Source organism: Homo sapiens, chromosome X, assembly GCF_000001405.40.
Source record: "Homo sapiens chromosome X, GRCh38.p14 Primary Assembly".
Classification (NCBI taxonomy): Eukaryota; Metazoa; Chordata; class Mammalia; order Primates; family Hominidae; genus Homo; species Homo sapiens.
In genome coordinates, this window is record NC_000023.11 from 53,547,185 (window position 1) to 53,573,547 (window position 26,363).

At 44.5% G+C, this 26,363-nt stretch overlaps 1 protein-coding gene and 2 non-coding genes across 52 annotated transcripts in view, besides 1 other annotated feature; all 3 read right to left on the minus strand.

Annotated features, from left to right (window-relative positions):
• HUWE1 (HECT, UBA and WWE domain containing E3 ubiquitin protein ligase 1) overlaps positions 1 to 26,363 on the minus strand; it is a 154,624-nt gene that overhangs the window by 15,089 nt on the left and 113,172 nt on the right. For 34 of the 50 annotated variants that reach the window (NM_001441048.1, NM_001441051.1, NM_001441049.1 and 31 more), the window contains 21 exons: positions 22,432 to 22,643; positions 21,508 to 21,690; positions 17,883 to 18,055; positions 17,390 to 17,538; positions 16,562 to 16,637; positions 15,647 to 15,745; positions 14,927 to 15,060; positions 14,572 to 14,740; positions 13,004 to 13,232; positions 12,170 to 12,348; positions 11,787 to 11,876; positions 11,471 to 11,625; positions 10,198 to 10,243; positions 7,449 to 7,736; positions 5,454 to 5,709; positions 5,127 to 5,257; positions 4,082 to 4,296; positions 3,717 to 4,005; positions 3,482 to 3,584; positions 1,775 to 2,321; positions 489 to 1,089 (listed from right to left, as the gene is read on the minus strand). In NM_001441048.1, the coding sequence (NP_001427977.1) occupies positions 489 to 1,089; positions 1,775 to 2,321; positions 3,482 to 3,584; positions 3,717 to 4,005; positions 4,082 to 4,296; positions 5,127 to 5,257; positions 5,454 to 5,709; positions 7,449 to 7,736; positions 10,198 to 10,243; positions 11,471 to 11,625; positions 11,787 to 11,876; positions 12,170 to 12,348; positions 13,004 to 13,232; positions 14,572 to 14,740; positions 14,927 to 15,060; positions 15,647 to 15,745; positions 16,562 to 16,637; positions 17,390 to 17,538; positions 17,883 to 18,055; positions 21,508 to 21,690; positions 22,432 to 22,643 (4,324 nt within the window). The remainder of the gene's footprint in view (positions 1 to 488; positions 1,090 to 1,774; positions 2,322 to 3,481; positions 3,585 to 3,716; positions 4,006 to 4,081; positions 4,297 to 5,126; positions 5,258 to 5,453; positions 5,710 to 7,448; positions 7,737 to 10,197; positions 10,244 to 11,470; positions 11,626 to 11,786; positions 11,877 to 12,169; positions 12,349 to 13,003; positions 13,233 to 14,571; positions 14,741 to 14,926; positions 15,061 to 15,646; positions 15,746 to 16,561; positions 16,638 to 17,389; positions 17,539 to 17,882; positions 18,056 to 21,507; positions 21,691 to 22,431; positions 22,644 to 26,363) is intronic. The other 16 variants (XM_047441751.1, XM_047441752.1, NM_001441052.1 and 13 more) reach the window with 5 other exon arrangements.
• On the minus strand, positions 9,039 to 9,157 carry MIR98 (microRNA 98). Its single transcript, NR_029513.1, has one exon. It is a non-coding gene; the product is annotated as a microRNA 98 (primary transcript).
• Positions 10,008 to 10,090, minus strand: MIRLET7F2 (microRNA let-7f-2). The gene has a single exon (NR_029484.1). It is a non-coding gene; the product is annotated as a microRNA let-7f-2 (primary transcript).
• Positions 14,577 to 15,776: an enhancer, noted in NCBI's record as "MED14-independent group 3 enhancer chrX:53588722-53589921 (GRCh37/hg19 assembly coordinates)". NCBI's record gives its function as "activates an origin of replication core promoter dependent on BRD2, BRD4, P300/CBP and CDK7 cofactors, and independent of MED14, by STARR-seq in HCT116 cells {active_cell/tissue: HCT116}" and the evidence as "EXISTENCE:reporter gene assay evidence [ECO:0000049][PMID:35650434]".

Consider the following 26,363-nt stretch of genomic DNA (forward strand, 5'->3'; position numbering starts at 1 on the left):
TTCTTCAGATAATTCTTTCTTACTAATCTGTGGCAGGGCTCATTACCTTTATTTCCTGGGATGATCTGGTTACTCTGAATCACACTGTATCCTGCCCGCCCTTGAACTATTTCCCATGAGAACTGGCTCCCTCAACACAACTGGAAAGGCTGGGAATTCCCTGAGGATGGAACTTAACTTTCTTTCCTCCTTCTGGTGCCTAGCCTAGGGAAGCTACATTCAGTGAATGCCTGCTGACCTTCAAAAGAGTGTGTGTGTGAGAGGCAGGGGAGAGAGAGAAAGAGAGAGACACAGAGAGACGGGGATGGAGGAAGGGAGACAGAGTGAGAGAACTGGGACAGATGAGGGTGAGAATGAACACATTCTGTTCTCACAAACACAAACCAAGCTGATTGCTATCACTGAGGGAGAACTATCTGGATGGAAAAGGGGGTGAAGTGGGTGCCACAGTATATACCCCACAGCTCCCAGTCTACATCCACACTTACTTGAAACAGTAGTGGTAGCAGTCGTGGGGGTAGTCACTGTGGTCGAAGCAGCTACGACAATGGTGGAAATAGCCGTGGCAGCAACCAGGGCTGGAGCAGAAGTGACAGGGGTGGGTGCAGTAGGGGGTGTGGGCGTGGTGGAGGCGGCAGTGGTGGTGGTGGTAGATGTGGTTGAGGTGGCAGTGGTGGTGGAGGAAGCACCGCTGCCAGAATTAGCCTGTGCTTCTGACACCTTGTTTTCTGGGAGAGCAATTGAGATGAGAGAAAGGAGTCTGAGGAGTTTCTCAGTTAAGAGAGAGCTCCGGCGGATGACTGGGTGTGACAACATGTTCATGAGCTGCCCCAGTGGAGAGGCCTCGAGGCTGTATGGAGAGGTTTCCCCCTCACCGCCAGCGCTCACTGGCACTGACTTCACGGAGTTCTTGCCTTTCCGGCTGACATTCATGTTGTCCAGTTTTACCAATAAGTCCCAGAAGTCTGTGCAAATGCCACTGCTGGAGGACTGTGAGGAGCATGGGCTACAGGCCTTATTGCCCCTTTCCCGATCACTCTCACAGTTTGTTTCTTTGGTCCGCTGCTGTGTGAAGTGGCTGGGAAATACCTGCCGGGAAAAGGAGGACAAGGCTTGGTCTAGGACGTCTTCACAGAGGATGAGCCTTCCTGATAGGGAAAAGACAACTGGTTCCCAGACTCCTTCAGACAATTTTGGTAAATATTGGGGGATATGTCATATAAGAGTTTTATCCAACAGACAGTAAAGCAGCCTAGAGAAATGAATGAGGGCTTTGTAGCAATACAGACTCACGAGCAAACTTTTCCTGAGCTTTAGTCTCGCACTTATAAAATGGAGATAACTACACTTCCTTGCAAAGTTGTTGGAGATTAAACGACATGATGTATTTTGCACAGTGCCTGGCACAAGGCAGGCCTTTGATAGATGGCAGCAATGCTTATTATTGAAAGAACACTAAATTCTAGGTCCAGCTCCATCACTTTCTAATCATAAGACAAAATGAATAAAATGTTCTGAATCTCAGGTTCTTCATCTGTAAAACAGGAATCATACAGCCCAGTTGTTTTGATGACTAAATAAGACATACATAAAAATGGAAAAGAATGAAGAAAAAACCCCAGAAATATATAGGACAATCCCCTAGAAACAATACAGGGCTCAACACTTAAAATAAGAGCAAAAAGACACGCTAGCCTGCTTAGTGTTCAACTTTCACCCAGGCTCTTGCTGCCACCCTTCTTCCATCCCCAGGAGTTGGGTTTGAAACCCTCACCTTGGCCAATTGAATGAGTGTATCCAAAACGTGTCTGCAGACAACAGGAGCAGCTTGGGGATGGATGTGGACGGTGGAGCCACCGCTTGCATGCTTCTCGGTATGTTTACGCCCCCCTGAACGCTGGATCTGAAATATATTAGTCCTGCAGCCTAGGGCTGCATCCATGGATACTGAGAGCCAGGAAAGCTGGTTGGAGCTCTTTGACTCCATCTTGTGTAGCAGGTCCAGGGGACGGTTCTCATGGCTACTTGACCCACAGCTCTTGCTCGACTTTTTGCCCTTTTCCTCACTTGTAGTGAGTTTGGGTGTTTCAATGCATAGCTCACTCTCACTGCTGCGCTGCAAGATGGAGAGCAGACTGCGGATGACCCAGTGGCGGGTCTGGGCATGGTAGCAGAGATTTCTCAGTACTCGGTGTAGACGGCTAGTATTGAGCTTTGGCTCATCCACAAAAAGTAGGACCAAGAGACAAGAAAGGGCTTCGTGGTCCAGAAGGAGCCGTCCTCGGAGGCGGAGGAGAGTATCTACATTACTGCCAGAAGGCCTGGAAACAGAACATGGTTTTTGGGTAACACTTCAGTGGCTAGAGCTCTGGGATTAGGCATAAGAATGGGGGAGGGGAATGAGCTAGGTATCTCCAAGGAGGCTTGAGAAAGGTGGGTGTCCAGTCCAAGGGCTCTTCATAGTAACAGCTGCCCTCTTAGGTGTCTACTATGTACCAGGCACTTTACAATGACTGTACATCATCCTTTCAGGGCTGCTGTACAGCTTAGAGAATGAAGCCCCCCACCCCCACCAGCTTTTTGTTGAGATGGAGTCTCGCTCTGTCACCCAGGCTGGAGTGCAGTGGCGTGATACCGGCTCACTGCAACCTCCACCCCCTAGGATTCAAGTGATTCTCGTGCCTCAGCCTCCCGAGTAGCTGGGATTACTAGTGCGCGCCACCACACCCGACTACTTTTTGTATTTTTAGTAGAGATTGGGTTTGCCATGTTGCCTAGGCTGGTCTTGAACTCCTGGACTCAAGTGATCCACCTGCCTCAGCCTCCCAAAGTGCTGGGATTATAGGTGTGAGCCACGACAACTGGCCGAGAACCACCCATTTTTGAGATGATAAACAAGAGGCTCAAACAGGTTAAGTGACTTGCCCTACATCACACGGCGACTGAGAAGACAGCAGAGATTCCAGCCCAGGTATCATCCATCGACTGGTAAAATCTGACCATACCTAAGTCTAGGAGACAATGCTAGTTTCTGCCTTCTCTAGACTACCAGGAGTTTGTGGCCTTGTAGGAACCAATCACTCCTTTCACATTTTGGCATGTCAGGCCCACTCTGTTTTAGCCTGGCTAACTCACTCCTCTATACTTCCTTAGCCTAGGTGTTACAAACTCAAGGCAGGTGGTTAGTTGTTTTACTACTTGCATGGGAGACAAGTGGTGTTCCTTCTTGTTAAAACCATAGTTAGCACCTGCTGCCGGCCTGCTTTTGCGATTGTGGTCTTTGGTAGCAAGACTAACCAAAAGGTGTAGTTTTCTGAATGGGGAGTCCAAAGATCTGGCTCTCTCACTTATTCAAGGAAATGGCTTAGAGAGACCATCCATCCTGCCTGTCAGGATTTCAGCTTCTCCACCTATAAAACTAAGGGAGCTGGGCTAATAGACTTGAGTGGTGATATGGTAAGGTAAAAATAGACAAAGGTACCTGTTATGGCTGCTGCTACCCCCCATCTGGAAGGTGCCACCTCTCTGCACAGCAAGGCGAGTATACTGGACCCCACGGTTGCCACTTAAGCGACTGGTGAAAGCTGGAAGGAAAGAAAAAGAAAACTGAGATTGTGGAGAGGGTGTAAACTGGATATAGGTAATACAAAGGTAAGAAAACATAGCCTCATCTGGCTAAAGCTTTCCAGAGCCCTCCCACTTGCCTCCCTCTGTACCCGGGCTTCGGAGAATAGCAGAGAGTGCGGAGGTGCTACTGTGCCCAAACAGACGCTCATGCATGAGCTGTCGCTGCCGGGCTTCTTGCTCTCGTCTCAGGGCTTGAGCCTCAGCTGCAATGTCAGGTGGCATCACAGCTAACACACTGTCCTCCATATCCTCTAGGACACTACGGCGCAGGTCTGAGGGCAGAGTCTGGATGAAGGTCACAGGGTCCATAGGGGTGTCTGAGCTGGCATTCTGTGCTAGTTCTCGTCGCTGCTGCTCAGCTCTCTGCTGTGCCAGTACCTATGGAGCAGAAAAAGTCAATGAGGGCATTTCTCCTGCCAGGCAGCCTGGCCCCACCACCTTCCCGCTCACATACTTCCTCCTGAATGGCTGGAGGCAGGGCAGCCAGAAACTCAGGGCTCACTTCAGTCACACCAGGATTCCCCACCACTGCAGGCGCTGAGCTATTTGTGGAGGGGGCAGTCCGGGTTGGTGGACGAATGCCTAGCTGGTTCTGTAGAACTTCCCGACGGATGTCATCAGGCAGGGCAGCCAGAAAAGAGGGGTCCACACCTTCAGGGAGACTGATACCTGAAGGGAGATATAACATGTAAAGGGATTCACGCCTTATTAATTGCTTGAGACGGGGTCTTGGTCTGTTGCCCAGGCTGGAGTGTAGTGGTGCAACCCTTGCCTCACTGCAGTGTTGAGCTCCTGGGCTCGAGTCTTCCTGCCTCAGCATCTTGAGTAGCTGGGATTACAGGCATGCACCAAAATGCCTGGCTAATTTACATATATATTTTTGTAGAGATGGGGTCTCCCTATGTTGCCCAGGCTGGTCTTAAACTCTTGGCTTCAGGTGATCCTCTGACCTCTGCTTCCCAAATTTTCAGGATTACAGGCACGAGCCACCGCGCCCAGCCTCTCACACCTCTATTGGTGCCTAATATGTACTTGGAGAAAATAAACCCATGTCACTCCTTGAGGGAAACCAGTGTATATGTCTTCACTGCTTGCAAGACATGGGACACAGAGAAGGCCCACCCCACCTTCCCTGGGCTCAGAACAGCTTTTGTTATTTGCTAGACTGCATGCACTGTTACTTACCCTTCATAAATAACCTACCACGCAGATATCATCACCCCCTCGGTATCATTCATGATCACAGAAATTAAATAATGACCCTAGGTTGTAAAAGGTAGAAGTGGCAGAGTGGGGGAATTTGAGTGAGCCAAGATCAGTTTGACTCCTAAGGCTGGACCCGTTTCATTATGCCATACCAGCACCCCCGCTTATTGTCAGTCCTCCCACATACATGCCCTCCATCTAAATGGAACTGTTTGGCTGGTGGGCATTTCCATGCCAAGGGCTACTAGAAGCCAAAACAATCCCAGGATGACCTGGGCATACACGGAACTCACCCGCAAGGGGATCTTCTTCTTCACTGCTTGTTGAAGGCAACGGCTCTTCTAGGATTCCTCGGGAATCTGCTCCAGAAATGGCCACGGCAGAATCTCTGGTGGAAGAGCTCTCAGAGGATGCAGGTGGGGAGCTGAGGGAAATCATGCTCAGGTTGCTGTCTGTATTATGTCTTCTCGTTTATAAAACACTGCTACAATACCCCTTTCTCACAGAAACCAGCTTTATCTCCCCAGCATAACAAGCATGTCCATTAGTTGACGAGTATGAAATGTGCTTTGAAAGACCCTCCAATATATCCTACCCTTCTTTTGCCCACACATGCTTACCTGTCCTCAGGTGGCTGGGCAGATTCCCCTGACCCATCACTCCTGCCTTGCACTTCCGCCACAGCTGGTGGGGCATCCCCAGGAGTGGAGCTGCCTGCTCTGGGCTGCTCAGAACTGCCAGCTGCTGAAGTGTCACCCACAGCCTCCTCTAAGGTACAGGAAGCCAGGCTGCTTGTATCCATAGGAGAGCCTTCTAGCTGACTGCTGACAGCCGTCAGTGCATCAGAATCCTCAGCTCTCTCTGGGGAAAGTGAGGCTAGGAAGAAGTTGCAGGGAGAGGTTAGGTTTCTATCTGGAACCGGGGCAAAATGACAGATAAGGTCTTTGATAGGGCTGCTTCCTTAGGGGCATCTCAGCTCAGACTTCTCACTTCTCCCTTGCTGTCCCCCTCTCAATCTCACTTTGAGATTTCTAAGGTTCAGCTGAAGCCCTTTCTATCAATTCTTGAACATTTACTGTGTTCCAGGCATGCCTGTGAAACATCTTCCCTAGGCAAACCAGGTAAGGGATTTTTTTTTGGCAGGGGGATGGAGTCTCACTCTGTTGCCCAGGCTGGAGTACAGTGGCACAATCTCGGCTCACTGCAATCTCCGCCTCCTGGGTTCAAGCAATTCTCTGCCTCAGCCTCCTGAGGAGCTGGGATTACAGGCACCTGCTACCACGCCCGGCCAGTTTTTTGTATTTTTAGTAGAGATGGGGTTTCACCATCTTGGCCAGGCTGATCTTGAATTCCTGACCTCATGATCCACCTGCCTCGGCCTCCCAAAGTGCTTGGATTACAGGTGTGAGCCACCGCGCCCAGCCCGGGTAAGGGATTTTTTCACTTTGATTCACTGCAGGCACCACTTGCACGTGCATATCCCTGTAGTTCTCTAAATAAACAAGGTTTCGGTAGGGCGCAGTGGCTCATGCCTGTAATCCAAGCACTTTGGGAGGCCGAGGCGGGTGGATCACCTGAGGTCAGGAGTTCCAGATAAGCCTGGCCAACATGGCAAAACCTCATCTTTACTAAAAATACAAAAATCAGCTGGGCATGGTGGCGTGCACCTGTAGTCCCAGTTACTTGGGAGGCTGAGGCAGGACAATCACTCCAACCTGGGTGGCGGAGGTTGCAGTGAGCCAAGACCACACCACTGCACTGCAGCCTGGGTGACAGAGCGAGACTTTTTCTCAAAAAATAAATAAATAAAATAAAATAAAATAAAATAAACAAGGTTCCTTGAAAGAAAAAACTGACACCTTAGGGTCTCTCCAGAGAACTTCACAAGCAAGATGGTATAGAGCAGGGATGGCAAGCAGGTATCAATTTATCCTGTTGAAATACTGCTGAGAAGACTTTTCAGGCCCCATTTCAAACCAGTGAGAAATAGTGTCATGAGATAAACAGTGTCTGCCAGGAGAATGGGAGAGCTCTAAGTGTGGGATGACATGCTTGCCATCCTGGGAACTGTGGAAGGAGAGAGTAATCTTTAAAGTCAGACAGATCTGGGTTTTAATTCTAGTTCAACCACTTACAGAGTGACTTGGGCTAATTATTTCATTTCTGAGTTTCAGTTTACTCATGTAAATAACACCATCGATTTTGGAGAGTTTTTTTTTCCCCCCAATAGAGATGGGGTCTATGTTGCCCAGGCTGGTCTCAAACTCCTGAGCTCAAATGATCCCCCTGCCTCAGCCTCCCAAAGTGCTGGGATTATGAGTCATCATACCCAGCTGGAGAGTTGTTTTTAAATAATAAGCCTGGGGTGATAGCCCAGAAACAGAGTAATTGCCTCAATGAACTGTTGGTATCATCACCAATATCATTAGACATTCAACTATCACCAGTTCAGGACCTCAACTTCACTTAAGAAAGTGAATGCGCAAGACGAGATCTTATTATTTGAGAAGTTGAACTCCTACTATTTCTCTCAAGCAAAAGAGCAAAGAGAAGCTACAAAGACATCCTTTCTTCCCTCTTGTTTCATCCTCCCCAAATGTTGAAATTCTACTCACTTATAGTGGGAGCTGGGGATAACTCCATCTGAGTTGTTTCTGCTTCCCCACTTGGCCTTGTGGGACCCAATTCCTCTGGCTCTACAGGCATCAATAGCTGTGTAGAGCTGCCCCCTTCTCCAGCTGGAGACTGCAGCTCCTGAGGAACCTCTCCCAAAGCTGGTGGGGTTGGGAGTGTTGGTTGCTGTTGTGAGGATTGCAGAGTGCCAAGGGTCTCCTTGGACTCAGATGTAGCTGCATCAGTTGAAGATGGGGTTGTTGGGTAGCTGTCAGGCATAGGCGTCCCATCTTTCTCGGAAAGAACAATAATAGTGGTTAAGGGGCAACCAGCCAATGATGAGGGGAGCCACCCCAATCAGCAAATGTGGCCTGATAAGTATCCCACCCAGCCAGTGATCATCCCCACAACAAAAATACTCCAAGGAACATCTCTGGTCTGGTATACTAAGGATGAAGGTTAAGGCACAGTGCTATCTCTGTCCCAAGAATGCAAGAACTGGAGCTCTGACTCTGTGGATTCTAAGAATAAAATCCTTTCTGTGCCCTGCAGGTGGAAGGGGGAAGATTTCAGGCCATATAGGGTGAGGCTAAATGTCTCTGACCTATAGGTACACAGAAAATCTAACTACCAAAATCCTATTGATCCTCCCACTTCATCTATTTGGAGCAAGAAATGGTCAGAATTTCGTTCAAAACTCTATTTGTTTTTTTTGGAGACAGGGTCTCACTGTTGCCCAGGCTGGAGTGTAGTGGCACAATCATGGCTCACTGCAGCCTTCACCTCCCGGGCTCAGGTGATCTTCCCACCTCAGCCTCCCAAGTAGCTGAGACTATAGGCATGTGCCACCATACCTGACTAATTTTTTGTATATTTAGTAGAGACAGGGTCTTGCCATGTTGCCCAGGCTGGTCTCAAACTCCTAAGCTCTAGCAATCCACCCACCTCGGCCTCCCAAAGTGCTGGGATTACAGGCGTGAGCCACTGCGTCCAGCCCTTCAAAATCTTTTTTTTTTTTTTTTTTTTCCTGAGACAGAGTCTTGCTCTGTTGCCCAGGCTGGAGTGCAGTGGCGTGTTCTCAGCTCACTGAAGCCTCCACTTCCTGGGTTCAAGCAATTCTCCTGCCTCAGCCTCCTGAGTAGCTGGGACCACAGGCGAGTGTCACCAAGCCTGGCTAATTTTTGTATTTTGAGTAGAGGCGGGGTTTCGCCGTGTTGGCCAGGTTGGTCTCGAACTCCTGACCTCAGGTGATCCACCCGCCTCGGCCTCCCAAAAATGCTGGGATTACAGGCATGAACCACTGCGCCTGGCCCAAAATTCTTAAAGTATGCTTTCCATTCCCTTGCACACATTCCTGTTCTATTACTAATAAAATGCAATCATTACACAGTTGAAGAATAGCAAAATGAGTTCATGCCCAAAGGTAAAATAATTATATGCTCCAATTAATGAAAGACAAGTCACTTTATAATGACATCTGCCTCACCCTAAACACCATCTGTCCCCTTCCATGTCTCTTTTCTTCCAGTCCAAATTATCCAAGGAACATCTACAACTTTGTCTGATGGAGGCAACACTGCTAAGACTAAGTGTGAATATGCCACACACCAGGGAAAGTAGTAAGTTGTATAGTTATCTTCTAATTGGGGCCTAATATCCCTACCCCACAACAATACAACTTACTACCTCACCCTGGCATGAGCAGAATCCTCTAATAAGGGCAGCAGGCAAAAGGCCATTTTACATGGTGACAGACTCTTTTAAAGATCTTTTGCTAGATTAAGGGTACCAAGGCATCTACCCTACTTCACTGCTTTAAAAAATATTGTGCAGGCTTTGGTACAATCATTTTCCAACTCAAGTGCGAAAGGAGACAGGTGTAGGGAGGCAGAAGAATGTTCTGAGGAAATATGGGTGGGGGAGACATATGATATCACATGAACCAACTGATAGAATCACAAAATGGCTACTGACCATTGTTAAGAAGATCAGAGGGAATAGGAAACATACGGCAGTCATACCACTAAGCCCAGAGAGCTACCTTCATGAACAGCACACTATCCAAGACAATGTTCCTAGACTTTTAGATTCCATGGACCAATAAAATTTAATTAAAAAAAGAACAAAAAGTAGAGACTAATGTAGGGGTTGCCAACTTTTAGTTTAGCCATGTAAGAAAAAACATCCAATCAACATCATTTAATAAAAATATTTTGGTACCACAGAATTAGGAATATGATCTCTAAATACAAAAACAGCCTTTTAAATGGAATAAATTCAGCTTTATGAAAAAGGCATTAAAGCTCCTTGATTTTGTTCGTTTCCACAGAGGACTGGCATTTGAGAACCACTGTCATCAGTTATTCTCATGAAGTGCCACACCATGGTGGTCATCAAAGGACCAGCCACTTCAAAGATGTACATGAACATGCTGTTTCAGAGGACAGAGTTGCAGTCAGGAAATGAACAAGACACATGACCTCATTACCCATGCCAGAACAAAGTAGATAATAACCAGAACAAGAACCTGAACAGAGCCAGTCGGAGAAGAAGTGTACCACCGTGGGAAAGACAGTAGACTGTATAGTTATCTCCAAGATGGGGTATGACCCTAAAACTATACAATCTACTACCTCATCCCACAGAGCACCAGTGTCCATCTTCAGCCTATGTGGGCCAGCTACTCGGAACTATCAGGATAAAGAAGCAACCAATTGATTAGTAAGAAGGGAGAAAGGGAAGGAGAGTTACCTGAGAGATTCTGTTCAGTGGAGTCATTTGACTTAGATGCAGTACACTGCAAAAAGAAGGGATAGACCAATGTGGGACTTTGCAAGCACCTAAGATAGAGGTCAACTGTAATAGTCACCATCCTCCACCCAGACCATCTAGGAGTTCAGTGATCTAATGGAGAATGCTTTGGCCATGTGACCAAAGGAAGGTGATCATTTCACTGTGCAAATATATGACCAATTTCTCTATACATACTCAGGTTCAAGAATTGTTTGGGGCTGAGGGGGAAATAAATATGGAAGGAAAGGATAATAAAAACCCCTTAGGGATGGGCACGATCATGATCATTCTAGCAAGAATTTCTTGGTTTCATCTATGTATTTTTTCCCTTCATGGGGCTTATTTTTTATTTTGTCCACTCTAGTCTTTTCAGTCACAGGCTAGGTTCACTTATTTTTCATCCTATATCAAGTTTGAAACAATGTGTGTATTAGGTAAAAAGTTCTATATAAAGATATTTGTTAGATCAACCTTGTTATTTTAACTGAACACTTCACTACCCTTATTTTTAATCTACCTGATTCCTTAACTGCTGAGTAGGGTATACTAAAGTCTTTCACTCTCAAGTCTTATTTCTTTGTATTTCTATCAGTTTTTCCCCCTTTTATATCAAGTGATACACTGTAATGTATAATTCTATCAACATTTACTCAGACATTTAAAAGATCTCTGTCTGAGGTCCCAGAAGTTTCAGAAAAAAGTAGGTAACTTCCTTCTAAACCAAAATTGTATTAGTGATTTTATACATGTGAGCCCTAGAAAAAATGACATGTGGTGATGGGGTTCAGAGTACAAACATTTTCTCTGATCTGACACCTAGGCTGATCTTACTCAAATGACGGAATGGGGTCATCTCGGTAAGATTCCCCACACTGGCAGTTCACCGACAGAAATGGAAGTGGGCGACTAAGAGCATGGACTTAGATAAGGTTTTTCTCCTTGTCTTGATGCTGTCCTTGGCGGTAGAGACTATGCAGTGTGACTGTTGAGTGAGAAGCCATTCTGCTTCTGGCTCCAGTTTTTCCCTTGACACTTGAGAAATCTCCCCTCTAGGTTTGAATTCTTTCCCCTAAAAACCAGGTCAATGTATGGTGAATTTGAAATAAAAAATTTCCCAGGTTCAACGTGAACGTTCTAGGATTCTTCAGTGATTCCTGGTGCCATGTGTATGCCAAAACCACATTACGGCAGACACAGTCAAAGATGAATCCTCCCAGCCCTTGGGAATCACCTGTGCACTCTGATCCCTGTTCTCCTTATCTTCTTTGCCTTTATCAGTTATCTTTGTTTCTTCCTCAGCCAGTTGTTTCCTGCGCTTCTCTCGCCTTTCTTCCAGCTCCTCATCCCTCAGGAATTCCAGGTGATTGACAATGGACACTTTAACCACTGTTTCAAAGAGGCAAAAATCAAAGGCTGCTCTGGTGGGGTCAGGGAGGAAGCCAAGAGGCAGAGCTTGTAGCCACAGAGAACCAGGGAAACAACTCTCCACACGTTTGCCCTAGCTCTGGAAGGCTCACTATTGCCCTGATAACCAAGCTGCCACGCACCTGAAACACAGTCATGCATGCTCTCAGCATCGAGAACTTTGCATTCTTCTGTCCAGCGGGTCAGGGCTGTGGGGATGCTGGACAGGGTTCCTGTAGGGACAGCAAAGGGGAATGAGATTCTTGGCCTTGTCAAGCATTAACTGATCCACCGATCCAAAAATTGCAGTATTTCCCTAAAAGGACCCAAGGTCTATCACAATGTTTAGAACATAACAAGTACCTAGAGACAATAAAGTTTTTGTTGCCCATGGCTAAGTCACTGAGTGGTTCTGGCTCCTATAAAATGGGGGTTTTCTATAGGGCAGACACTGTCTTGCTTTTCCTCAGCAGGGAAAAAGTAGAATCTGACAAATTCTACCCTCCCTTTCACCACACAAACTTGCCTGCTTGGCTGGTAGCTGTGCTCTGATCATGGAAAAAGTCATCCAGCAGCTCATCATCAGAACGGGCGATGATGTGGACGTCATCGTTGCCTACCAGGAGGCGGGCCCGACCCCGGCTTTGTAGGGGAAGGCTGCTGCTCAGCTGAAGGATGTCAGCAGCAGCTGAGGGACCAAGCAACCTGTAGGGTAATGGTGGGTACCATGATCACTGTTAAGTCCAGAGGTGCCCTGCAACCTGTTACCATGAGATCCTCTTCATGCATCCTCTATTAAATGCAGAACATGATTATAAACCTGATGATGTGCACACAAGTCTAAGTTATTTTTCTGAATACCACCCTGGTTTTGTACTTAAGTTGTATATTATTCCATAGTTCCTGGCACCAAGTGGGTGTCAATAAGCTCCCACGTGCCAGGCACTGCGTCAGGTCACATTGCCTCCACTACACCCTCTCTGTCGTCTGTACACCAACCATTACAACACTTATATGCCTTTCTTTTACTTCTTAAGATTGTTTGTCTCACTAAACTCTAAGCCTGAGGGCAGGGATCTTGTCCCGTCTATATCTAAAGTGTTAAGTGCTTGGCATGAGACACTTAATAATTGCTAAATACATGCGCAGAACTATTGACATAATTTGGTATTCCCCAAAAGGCTGCACTCCCCAAAAGGCTACACATGTAATCCACAAAGAAATGGAACAAATACCTTATTTGTGTGTATGACAAGAACATTAAGTGATGGACTATTTCCCCCAAGGTTAAGACAATGCTAAAGCACAGTGAAAATTCTTACAAGAGCTCCGATGAATCCAACAGATCTCTGTAACTCACCTCTGCAGTATAAGAGGAGGGTTGGGCTGGCGATTCCCAGGGTAGTGAACATGAATGGTGTGGCCAGTATTGGCCGTCAGCTGCCTTAGGGTCCTCTGACTGCGCCCGATGCCCTGGGTGAGACGAGTTGTTGAAGAGCCACTGCCCAGTGTCAGAGAACTGTGGTCTGCATGGCGCACCATCAGTGGATGGGTGGTAGGGATATTTCCTGGGGATGGGGGGATGTCTGCTGCAAGGACAATATGTAAAAGGGTCAGTGTCAAAAAGAAATTTCTTCCATGTTTGTTCAAGCAGAATCATGTCTCCTGGGCCTTACTTCCTCACACGGAAACCTGAGCTTTGTCCTTTCTCCCTCATTCCCACAACTCATCTACAATCACTGACACTACCATAGCTTATGCCATCATCTCTCACTTAGATACTGCAACGGCCTCCTAAATAGTACCTTCTCCCAATCCATTTTCCACACTACAGTCACAGTGATGCTTCTAGGCCCCTCAGATACATGCTGCTCCCTTCACCTTGAAGACTCCTCTCCCGCTTCTTTACCTGCTCTTCTCTTCTTGGCCTAAGATGTCACTTTCTCTGTGAAGCCTGACTTCCACAGATTGGGTTAGGTAACTCTTTACCTCTGTGCTCTCTTACTATAGTGCAATGTAATGCCTGCTTAGTTATGATTCCTAATAAACCACTCCTATGAGGAACGAGGACTGTTTTCTTCTTTACTGCTGTATCCCTAGTACCTAGGATACAGTAGGCACTCCTCAAATATTGTTCAATTTGCTGAATGGACAGAGGCTCAACTCTAAGGGAAACTGATGAAAATCACAAAAATGCAAAATAATCATAGATGTTATCTTCAAAGTTATCTAATCCAACCCATTTTTTTCTCGAACTTTTCATTTACAGGTGACAAACTGAGGCTCAAAGAGGTAAGAGATTAATTGGCCAAGAAAACAGACCAGAACAGTTCAGTGTTTTCTGCTACATCATGCTTGTGATTTAAGTTGTCAAGACCTGCCCTATCAAGACAGCTTGATTCTAAGAACTCGATTCTAACTTGACGCTAAAAGGGAAGTTTCACGGTGATGGGGGAGGAAGAGATTCACTCGTTCTCCCGAAAAGACGCATCCTGGATGAATAGAGTGAGTATGTTCAAATCTGCTCCCCAAAGCCAAGCTCAAAGGTGACCATTCAAACCCTCAAGATCTTGTGTTATGGACATAAGGATTATTGATTGCCCTGCCACTGTGGTGTGCACATGGGTGCCTGATGCAGTCAGCCTTGGTCTCTTTCTTTTTTTTAATCAAGCAAATCATCAAGTTGTCCAGGCTCTAAAATGGCTGCCTATTTACTGAGGTGAAGGGAACAAAAGCAGCCTCTCACTATTCCTTCTCCTAAGTATACACTAATGAGACAGATGGATTCAGATATCCCTTGCCCCAGGAAGTCAGCATAGGAAAAGAAGTGCTGTCTGTATCGGATCGGTTTGGTCCACTGCTTGGCTTACCCTAGAGAAGGGTATAAGAATCAAGAGAGAAAAACCCAGCTGAGCCCCTGTATCTTACTAGCACTGGAGAACATGTTGTCAAACTCAATGATGAGATCATCCTCCCGGTCAAAGCGCTCAAATCGGACCAAGGGAGAAGCGTTCATATCAGGATAATCCTCATCCAATTCCATCTCAGAGCCATCGTCGTCATCGTCTTCATCTCCCTCTTCACCTTCATCATCCTCCTTAAGGGAAAATAGGAGATGGAGAATTGCTGGAGGTAAGGGTTTTCTGAAGCCTGGTGCCATGGCCACATGTGCACATGAGGGAGGGAGACGCTGAGGCTAGCAACCCAGACTGTTGGTTTTCTGCAGCTCTATGTTCCCATGGAAGAGGTCATCTGAACCAACCCAAACGCAGTCCCCCCTCACCTGATCATCTTCCTCATCTTCCTCCTCCTCCTCCTCTTCATCCTGACTATCATCCTCATCCTCGTTACTGCCACTGCTGTCCTCTTCCTGAGTGTGCTCCTCCTCATCCTCAGGGTCCAGGATATTCATGGAATCTAAAACAAAGGGAGCACATTGGAGGACTAAACTGAGTAGCTAGAAAACAGGCTACTGTGCAGGCCAGCAGGCTGAGTGGGAAGGTGATGGGATATCTGACTCTATGAGAGGAAGAACCAGATCTGGGGTGATGTACAGACTTAGTGAGCCAGACCCGATTTCCTGAGAGTGCCAATCAATGCATCAACACACTGAGCAGGGTGGCTGAATGTGGAGGCTGGCTAGAGGGTGGTGCTTGAGGAGCCATGGTCTAGGACTTGGCCAAGTCTGCTGGTGCCCCCTTGCCTTTTCAGCCCTACTTTGCTATTGACTATATCCTGTTGGCAAGAGGGAACCTGGAGCGATGATAGCAGGTGGGTGAGAAGAAAGCGAACCAAGTAAGAAGTGACAAACTTTGGGCAAGCAGTAGTAACATGTTATTTGAAAAACTGGCTGAGGATAAAGTGGATGGTGTATGTCAGCGCATGCAGACAGATGCTTCCTTATTCTGCACATGTGGGCAGCTGCCTCCAGGAAAACCCTAGTGTAGTGTCTGTCAGACGTGCAGGGCAAGAAGGGAGGCCTTTCTGGCCTCGGCACTCTCACCTTCTCGGTTGGCCTGCAAGGTGGAAGCTTGGCTGAGGTTGGAAGGAGCTTCATCCATCAGCACGTCCTCTTGTGATTCATCCTCTCCACTTCTGCTCACTGAAGGTTACAGAGCAGAGCCTTCACTGAACAACAGAGGACTTCCCTTTCCAGACTGGGTGCGTCTAAAGTAGCTATGTACACCTAGCAGATATCCACTTTTTTTTGGATGAGGGAGAAGACCTGGATTGTCTGCTGTCAGCTAGCTAGGTGAGCTTGGCCAGTCACTTTACCTGTCTGAGTCTCAGTTTCCTCATCTGTAAAACAGGATGATCACATCTGCCCTGCCAATCCCACTAATTGTGAAACCACAGAGGATACTGGGTATAAAAAAGCTTTGTAAAACTTAAGAATACGTGTCTACTTCCATTTATCCTTTGATTTCCTTGATCAACAAAGTAAAAACAAGTAACACATACACCCTCAGAGCCAGGTGACAGTAGGGTACCTTTGCCATTTTCCCTCTGAGATTTATAAAGGGCCACCCTCAGGGAATGATCATTCTTTTTACACTACTGAGACTCAGGGGCAGAAAGCCCCTGGACTTCATTGAAGAACTGAAAGGCAGCGCTTTCTCACCCTACAGCCTCCTCTAGGCCTCCATGAATAAACACTCTTTTGATGTGCTTGATGTATCATCTGTATCAATGGCCACTCCCACCACCTCCCCCACACAGGCAACACTTTAGACTGCCACAGGCCTGTAGACGTCTTGTGAATTTCTCATCTGTAAGACCGTCAACATCAAGACAAGCAGCGATCTAGGCTGGCTATGAGCCCTTAGGCAGAGCTGAGCAAGCAGATGATGAGAAAAAGGGTCCTCCCAAGAGAGACTGAGGCAAAGGAAGAGGCTATACTCAGTTCTGGGGCTCTCACCTATAATTGTACTGTTCCCAGATCCGCCATCCCTCTCAAGCAACTCATCTATCAGGTCCTCCAGCTCATTCTCAACCTGGAGAGAAATAGAACATATATATGGATGCACACAAGTCTATCATTGTGCTAGCACCGAAACCCTAAAAAAGGCCAGCAAAGCAGCATACATTTCTAGGATAACATGTGACAGAGGATGTTACGTGAAACCACACATTCGGTGCTAATTAGCACAGAAACTACCACGTGCTACCAATCCACAACCAGACTATCCTTCAAATGGGTCCATCCCAGTTATCTGATACTGGGTTGTCTTTATACTGTCCAGGAAGACATAATAGATCTCTTTAAAGCCAGCAGCTTAGGACCACAGGCCCAATTTCTTACCCAATGCTACCAGCTCCAGAAATTACAATGCTTTCCTTTAGGGTCTTTAGAAGACTGCTGTTTTAATGCCCCAGCAAGAGCTGGTGCTATAGGCATAAGGTGGTGTTAAGGAGCTTCCAATAATGACCAGAGCCAAAGTAAATCAAAGACCCGGGGCCCAACGGTCTCAGGTCAGCTTTCTACTTCAACATTTCACCTGTGCCTAAGTTTTCTGGTTGGGATCTATATCATTTCATAGTACATGGCATCCTGGCCCTGCCCCCACCCCTCTTTTAATACAGTACAAACACATTTACTGAGCATCTACTAAGCATATCACCCATGCTCCTCTGCAAAGCAGCCAGCATTGAGGCAAGGATCTAAAGTACTCACCCACCCACACCACCTGGCAAGGGTTTGGTTCAGCGCCGCAACAGGGAAATGCTGGGTGATCTGCCTCCCTACCTGCATCTCTTGTGAACTGAGCACCTCAGGCTGCCCAGCAATCACCACTGAGTCGGTTTCAGCCTCCCCATCCATGATATCCCCATCTGCCACCTCTGTCTGAGTGACATCATGATCCTCCTCCTGCACTTCTGCTTCCCCAGGCTCGCCTGAAACAATCAACCAACCAGCAAAATAATCAAAGAGTGCCTATGTGCTGGGCACCATGAGGCAAGCGCAAAGACAATAAGGTCCCTTCCTTGGGCAAGTTTGTAAGTTCTCAGAGAATAAACGAATGGGTGACAAAGGAAAAGACAAGGCTACGTGTGAGGATAGCCAAACAAGGCTGCATTTTGAAGGAATTCTTTGTGGGGCAGATTCCCACGCCACTATGACAGATCTCTGGAAGGCCAGCAAGTTCCCAGGGAAACACCACCAAGCCAGAACAGTTGTGATCCCAGGCCCATAAAGCAACTACTCCCACCTCTCCAGTCCATTGGCTCTGATTCCCTACCTGGGTCCTGCTGGTTGCTACTGGAATCTTGAGAGGCTCCTTGGGCATCCTGCTCAGACTTGTTCTTGCTAGAAGCACTCTTGCTGCCAAAAAGGCTACTGGGCTGGTTCACAATCCGGGAAAGTGTTTCCAAAGGCTTCAGAGCAGCATTGACTGTGTTGGCCATGTTGGGACTGAGATAAGGGAAGATAAAGAGATGGACTGAGCACAGAAATACTAGGTGTCTATCTTCTAAATGACACTAAGCTTCTTACAATGGAATCTACTAAGAGAAAAGGGGCATAAGGTCGTACAACTAACACTCTACTTTTGTTTAGAAAAAAAAAATTTTGACTTAAATGTCTTCAAGGAACCCACCCTAAAAGCAAGAGTTAAATCAATGCCATATTTCATGGGGCCATGGAAAGCACATGAGTAACAAATTCTTGACTGGAAATCAGAATGTATTCTGGATGACCACATGCAAGCAAGCCACTTCTCGGATGTACTCAGGATTTTTTTTTTTAAACCACCAGCATTTAGTCCCCAAACCCTAAAAGCTCAAAGGAAGGAACATGATAAAAGTTTTCCTTTTTTTTTTTTGGAGACAGGGTCTCGCTGTGTCACCCAGGCTGGAGTACATTGGCACAATCTCAGCTCACTGTAACCTCCACCTCCCAGGCTCAAGTGATCCTCCCACCTCAGGTTTCCAAGTCGCTGGGACTACAGGCGTGAGCCACCATGCCCAGCTAATTTTTCTATTTTTTGTAGAGATGGGGTTTCGCCATGTTGCTCATGCTGATCTCGAACTCGTGAGCTCAGGCAACCTGCCCTCCTCGCCCGGCTGATAACAGTTTGAAGTCCTGTGAATTTCAAATTATACTCTGTAGGGCTTCCTAGAGTTCAATAAAAGTACAATAGGGGCTGCAGTTGGAGGTGTGGTATGATTTCTAAGTGTAATAAGGTGTGTGAGACCAACCAGGTGCCCACTAACACCAGAGCAGCTCTGCTTTTATCTGCTTTATGTGTGTATTTATGTGTGAGTCTATGTATGTATGTATGTATGTATGTATGTGTGTGTGTGTGTGTATATATATATATATATATATATATATATATGCTCACTAGTAGTACCAAGATGGCAGTCTCTGATATCACATCACACTAAAAGTAACCAAGACTCGTCAGAACAAGTGATCCCAGGAATAGGGCAAGGAAGGGATAAGGTAAGCCTGGGATATCTCATTGTGCCAAAAAGCTTTCAAAAATTAATGGGACAGCTGGGCGTGATGGCTCACACCTGTAATCCCAGCACTGTGGGAGGCTGAGATGGGAGGATTGCTTGAGCCTAGCCTGAGCAACATAGTGAGATCCTGTTTCTATAAAGAGGAAAAATAACAACAAAAATGGGGAAAAAAAATTAATGGGATCATTACCACAGGCCCAGCTGAGTATCAGAAAGAATAATGATAGTAATGGAATTATTCATTACAAAGTGGAAATCTAACAGAAACCACCCTCCCACCTCAGCCTCCCAAAAAGCTGGGACTACAGGCGTACATGTCCAGCTAATTATTGTATTTTTTTGCAGAGACAGGGTCCCACTATGTTGCCCAGGTTGGCCTCGAACTCCTAGGCTCAAGTGATCCACCAGCCTCGGCTGTGATCAAATTTAGCATCACAAGTATTGGGACCAAGTGGTATTCACCTGTCTCCTGACGTGATGTGAGAAGGGCAAATATCACCCATGTAGTATTTTTGCCAAAAATGTTTAACCTGACCCTAACCATTAAGGGAGCAATTACATCAATGTAGACTGTGAGATGTTCTATAAGACATCAAGCCTGGATTCATCAAAACAGGAAAATGTCATAAAAAAAAAAAATGTGACAACCAAATGCAACATGTGATACTCACTGAATCCCGGATCAAAACACTCTCCCTCAGAGTATAAAGACATAATTGAAATAACTGGGAGTATGTGTATATAAAATTGTATAAATTTAGTATTATTATATTATTGGTAAATTTTTTGGATATGACAATGGAACTGTACCCATATAAAGGAATATTTGTTCTTAGGAGACAGATGATCAAGTACTTAGAGGTAAAGTTTTACAGTGTTTTCAACTAATTTCAAATGATTCAGCTCCTGAAAGGACAGGAAGGGAAGAAATAAAGCAAAATGTTCAGCAGTGGTTAATCTAGGTAGACACATGGTGTTCATTACAGTACTGTGAGTTTGACATTTATAAATGTTTCAAAAAATTGATAGGTTTGTAGCAAAAGGACAATTTAGTCATCTTGAAGGGGCCACATAGGTCAAAGGTGTAATAATTTTGAGCATGAAAAAGTGACTGCAGTGATCCAAATAAATTCAATCACTAGTTTCAAAACAAAACAAACATGAAAAGTCGAGTCCATAATACGACTTAAAAATAGAAAGCCAGAAAAAAACCTACATTTGAATCTCAAATGTAAATAGAAAGAAATTAAGTTTTTATACTGCCTTTATAATAGAAATTATATTTTAGCACAACCAGACATTCCCTGTGAGGCTAACACAGAAAAATGCCAGTTAATAATGTATTCGAAATGAGAAATTAGAAAGCTTTTATTCATAAGCCTCAAAGAAATTAATTGATCCAGGCAAGAATTATCAACTGATGTTAAGGCTATTATTTAGGTATATGATTGATAGTGTAGACATTTGTAAAGTGCCAAAATAACAACAGAGATGACTTTCTAGTAAGAACAAAAAGTGACAATTATCATGGGAGATGTGTCTCCCACGATACAATATGAGCTATACATCACCTAGGCTACACATTTCAGCCCAAAATGTTTAAACTGCTTCAATAAGCCTCTAAAGCCTCTAGATCTAACTAGAAGTTTACAGAAAATATCAGGAAGTAAAGGATTAAGTTAAACTACACTGCAAGGAAGCAACTGCACCAAGTTTAGAAGGCAAAAACACGGTCGCTTCAACAAGCTGGAATCATGAACAACAAAAACAAAATAAAGATCGAAATAATGAAAAAAAATTGTTTTAGAATAAGAGAGATTCAGAAAACATAGCCAGATGTAATACAAGTCCTTAATTGGATTCTGGTTTGGAGAAAAATGCTTAATTATGGATTTGGGCATTAGGTAGGATGAAACTTATTTTCATAGCAAGGAAGTGACCAGTAACTGAAAATAAAAACGAAAATGCCCCAAATTTCCCCCAACACAATAGCATGTATCATATCATGTTAGTAAAGAATACATTATTTATGCATGCAAAGAAAAACACTGAATAATAAACCAATAAGGTAATCATGGTATCTGGGTGGTAGGAATACAGTGTCTACTTCTTATTTTTACTCATCTGTATTTCTTATAATATACATATAATCTTCTAATAAGTGGTAATTTTTAAAGTGGGGGGAAGCTTGAAAAAAAAATCACTATTATAGTTCAACTCTTGAGTTTATAGCAAGTAAGAACCAAGGCTTTAAGAAAGACAAGTGCTAAAAGCCACAATAAGAAAGACTTGGGTCTCCCACTTGTACCCAAAGTTTTCCCACTACACCAGCTACCTCCACATCATTCGTGTAGTGAGGCTGAAGAGAAGGAAAAGCCTGGGGCTGGGGCATGATTTTACCTGGACAGGTCTAAGCTGTGAGGTACTCTGGCCAGGTCATTAACCAGTCCCTTCTTCAGGAAAAGCCGAATGATGTTGTTCATGCCATTGTGCTGGGTCTTCGCTGTGGCACTGCTGTAGAAGCTGGAGGTGGAGGGGCAGGACTCCATGATAGTACTGATGATACACATCACTGCCTGAAGCCTGGGAGAGAAGTTTTGACATCTCTATCATATGAATATAGCCATTTCTCAGGCCAAGTCTTCACAAAATAGCCTCAGATAACCCTCCTGTAACTTTTGTATTTCCTTCTGGAAATAACATCTAAACAAACAGGTGAGAACACACTCCCTAAGGTGATAGCATTCGTTTTCTCTTTTTTAGACAGGGTCTCACTCTGTAGCAGGGTGGAGTACAGTGGCGCAATCTTGGCTCACTGCAACCTTCCTGGGCTGAAGTGACACTCCCACCTCAGCCTCCCGAGTAGCTGGGACTACGGGAGCGTGCCACTACGCCCAGCTAATTTTCTGTAGAGACAGGGTTTCGCCATGTTGCCAAGGCTGGTCTTCAACTCCTACTCCTGGGCTCAGGCAATCCACCGGCCTTGGCCTCCCAAAGCGCTGGGATTACAGACGTGAGCCACCGTGCCCAGCCCCTACTTTAAATAAAATTTAAAATATAAGATCAAATAACCTGCTCAACTTCCTTGAAGACCTTAAAAGTACACTTAACATTTCCCTTTGTTTTCTCTAGGTTTACCCACTTACTCTAATGGTAATCAGTGCTCTGGCTATTTCCAACCGCCAGAACTATTTGAGCGGACCAGAGAGTATATGATGCCAGTATGACAAGAAGTTTTGTTCAAGTGCAAAACCACCCATGGACTAAGAAGAAGAATAAGGGGATGTTCTTGGCTATTAGCCCTGGGACAGGTATGAATCTTACCTGGCATGTTTCTCTGTACTCTCAGCCATAGCCAGTGCCCGTCCAAGGGCTGCTTTTACTTCATTCACTAGGGCCACCTGGGCATCTGTGCCACTCCCTGCAGCAGCCAGGCTTGCGAGGAACAGGCGGGCCAAGGCAGGGGTGTCCTTGTCTTCTGCATTCTGGGTATGTGGGAGCAGGTGGTCCAGAACAAAAGCTAGCACACTGCAGTCCTGAAAAGTCATGAATCACGACATTTACTTACAAGCACAATTATGCCATATCATTTGCACAGGACCAAAGATACACACACACATAGTATTTCCTTAAGTCACCCAATGAGTGATTATTAGGTCCACTTTATAGATGAAGAAGCCAAGGCTCAAAGATACAAGCAAGTAAGGAGCAAACCCAGATTTTAGAAAACTTCCAAATGCCACCCATTTCCCACTGCACAGCTTATACACTGTTATGTAGATGTCATGTATTTTTAAAAACATTTTTTAAAAACTTTATTTTTATTAAAATGTTTTTAAGAAGATGAGGTCTTGCTATATTGCCCAGGCCAGAGTACAGTGGCTATTCACAGGCATGATCATCGCACACCACAGTCTCAAACTCCTGTGTGTGTGTTCTCACACCTCAGCCTTCCAAGTAGCTGAGACTACAGGCATGTGCTATTGCACCTATCTTAAAATATTTTCACATGTGATATTTAATAGAACTACTTACAGCAAATCTATAAATAGATAAGTATTTTCTCATTTGATAAGCGGTAATCTGAAGCCCCCTAAAGAAGTGGCTTGCACAGAAGAATTTAATCAAGGGCTGAGGATTCAAACCTTGATTCTTAATTAAGTGCTATAAACCCTTCAGTGTTCAATTAAATTGAAATTATTTACTGACACCTACAATGTGCCCAGGACCCTGTGCTACAATAGAAGCTGGTAAGAGCTGAGCAAGAGACAGCAGAGTCACAGAAACTAATATGCAAAAATATTTAATGCAAGGTTATTTAAAGTAACGAAAAAGGCTCAATAGAGGAAGGAAATTAAGTCAGACTCTTCTTTTTTCTCTAACTACAATTCCTGCCTAGACAATTCCTTATCTTAGAAACAAATTCTATTGTCATTCAAGCAAATTTTGGATGAAAATACACTGAACATTTTTGGAACTACATAGGTGACAGTTGCACAACACTGCGAATGTACTAAATGCCACTCAACAGTACACTTTAAAATGGTTGACTTTATATAAATTTTACCTCAATAAAGAAAATGCATTGAATAATTTGAGAGTCTGAGAAACTGAATAAAGTGACCTTGTCAAAACAAAACAATTAGAAATAACAATTAATTTCCCAGTAGTGAATACATACAAAGTTAAAACTATTTTCTCAATAACCACGTAGAAAGGACTTAGCTTTGGAATCATAGCCCTAGCTTCCAATTTTAGCTCTGCTACTCTGTAGTATGGTCCCAGGCAAGTTACTTACCTCTTTGAGCCTTCTCTCCTCTATTAAAGAGATCACTATCAACAACCTTGCAGTGTGGAGGTGAGGATTAACAATAGTATTTATAAAGCACTTACCAGTACCCAGTACTGGTAGGACACTGGACACATATTAGGCAGATACTTAATAAATTTGTAATTAAATATGTTAACCCACAGGTAATACTATTATAAATTATGAATACAACTGGCATAAATGAGTTAAAGCTTTGGAATAAAGCCTGGCTAGGTGTGATGGCTCATGCCTGTAATCCTAGCATTTTGGGAGGCTGAGGCGGGAGGATCACTTGAGGCCAGAAGTTTGAGACCAGCCTGGGCAATATAGCAAGACCTCAAAAAATAAAATTAGCTGGGCGTGGTAGCATGTGCCTATAGGTCCCAGCTACTTGAGAGGCTAAGGTGGGAGGATCACTTGAGCCTGGGAGTTCAAAGCTGCAGTGAGCTATGATTGTACCACTGCATTCTAGCCTGGGAGACAAAGTGAGACTCTTAAAAAAAGGAAGCCTATTTATGTATTTATAGGACTTATGTCCAGAATATATTTTAAAAACTCAATAGGAAAATAGAGTAAAAGAGCTGAATAGACATTTCCCAAAAGAGAATGAACAAATGGCCAATAAAGACATGAAAAAAATGGTCAACAGGGAAATGTAAATTTTAACTATAATGCAATACCACTACAAACCCATTAAAATCAGTAAAATGAAAAAACACCAACTGTTGATCTCCCATATGCTGCTGGTAATAATATAAACTGACCTGGCCACTCTGGAAAACTTTTAGCATTAGCAGAACAACTATCATACTCTAGAGCTCAGCAATTCTTACTCTTAGGCATATACTACCCAACAGAAATTGGGTAGTTCACGAACTTATATATATTCATAAGAATGCTCATAGCAGCACTATCTGTGATAGCTCCAAAGGCAAAATTACCCAAATGTTTATTAGCAGTAGAATGGGTAAAAGATGTATTTGTTTTGGTACATGGTACATTCCACAGTGGAATTTTATACAGATGAAAATAAACTTCACCTGCACACAAAATGAATCAAGTATGTTAAGCAAAAGAAGCCAGGCAAAAAAGAGAGTACATTCTATGAGATTCCATTTACATGAACTACAAAACCAAATTACGGCACGAGAACTCAAGATAATGGTTATCTTGAGTGAAGGTGAAATGGGTGGGAGGAGATGCACTAAAGAACAAGGAGGGCAGCTTCTAGGGAGCTTGTAATGCTTTATTTAACTTGGCTAGTGGTTACCTAGGAAAAACAGACTATTTAAGATTTGTGTATTTTTCTATGTATATTAAACTTGGATTAAAGTAAGAATAGCTTTAAAAATGGCGGTTGCTTTCAAAGATGGCAACACTAGTGCCCCTACTCACTCTCAGACCCTTTTGCCACTTACTAACCATAAAATTACAATGTGATCCACAAAACAAGGCACCCTTACGGGAAAAAATATTTGGGCACCCATTTTACATATGCGGGAACATGTGATACAGTTTCTCAAAATGCCCCACTCACTTAAAAAATCTAACCTGAGGATAATTCTGCATCAGGACACTTCATTCTTTTCCACAGCTCTACTAATGAACATTTAAGGCTTTTCCTTTATTTTTATTACCAATACTGCTACCACATCTGGTGTCTTTGCACATGTGTGAGTACATCTGGAAGATGAACACCTATATTCTTATTTATATGGTTTATTCAACTGTCCTTTAGACACTTTTACTTAGATGTCCCACAGATACTTCTCAAAACTCCTCATTTTCTCTTCAAACCTTCCCCACCCCATTCTATTTTCTTGTTAGATGCCAACCCATAAAAGCAATTAAAAAAACCCCCACAAATCAAGAAACATCCTTGAGTCTTAATTTCCTTTTTCATCTTCCAAACCCAATTCTTGTCCATTTGTACCTTAAAAATATTTCTTCAACTCACCCATTTTCCTCCAACTTCACCAAGATCGTACGTTACTAGATTACTCTATCAGATTCCTAACTGTTCTCTCTGACTCCAGTCTTCCCTCTTCAATCTCCACAATGCATAAAAAGGGACTTTCAATAGAACAAATCTCATTAACTCTCTCTCTCAGTGAACCTAATGAAAAAAGGCCTAGCTCTTTCAGGTTTTTTTTGAGACAGAGTTTTGCTCTTATCACCCAGGCAGGTGTACGATGGTGCGATCTTGGCTCACTGCAATCTTTGCCTCCTGGGTTCAAGTGATTCCCGCAATCTCTGCCTCCTGGGTTCAAGTGATTCCCGCAATCTCTGCCTCCTGGGTTCAAGTGATTCCCTTGCCTCAGCCTCCCGAATAGCTGGAATTACAGGTGCCCGCCACCACGCCTGGCTAATTTCTTTTTGTATTTTGAGTAGAGATGGGGTTTTGCCATGTTGGCCAGGCTGATCTCGAACTCCTAACCTCAGGTGA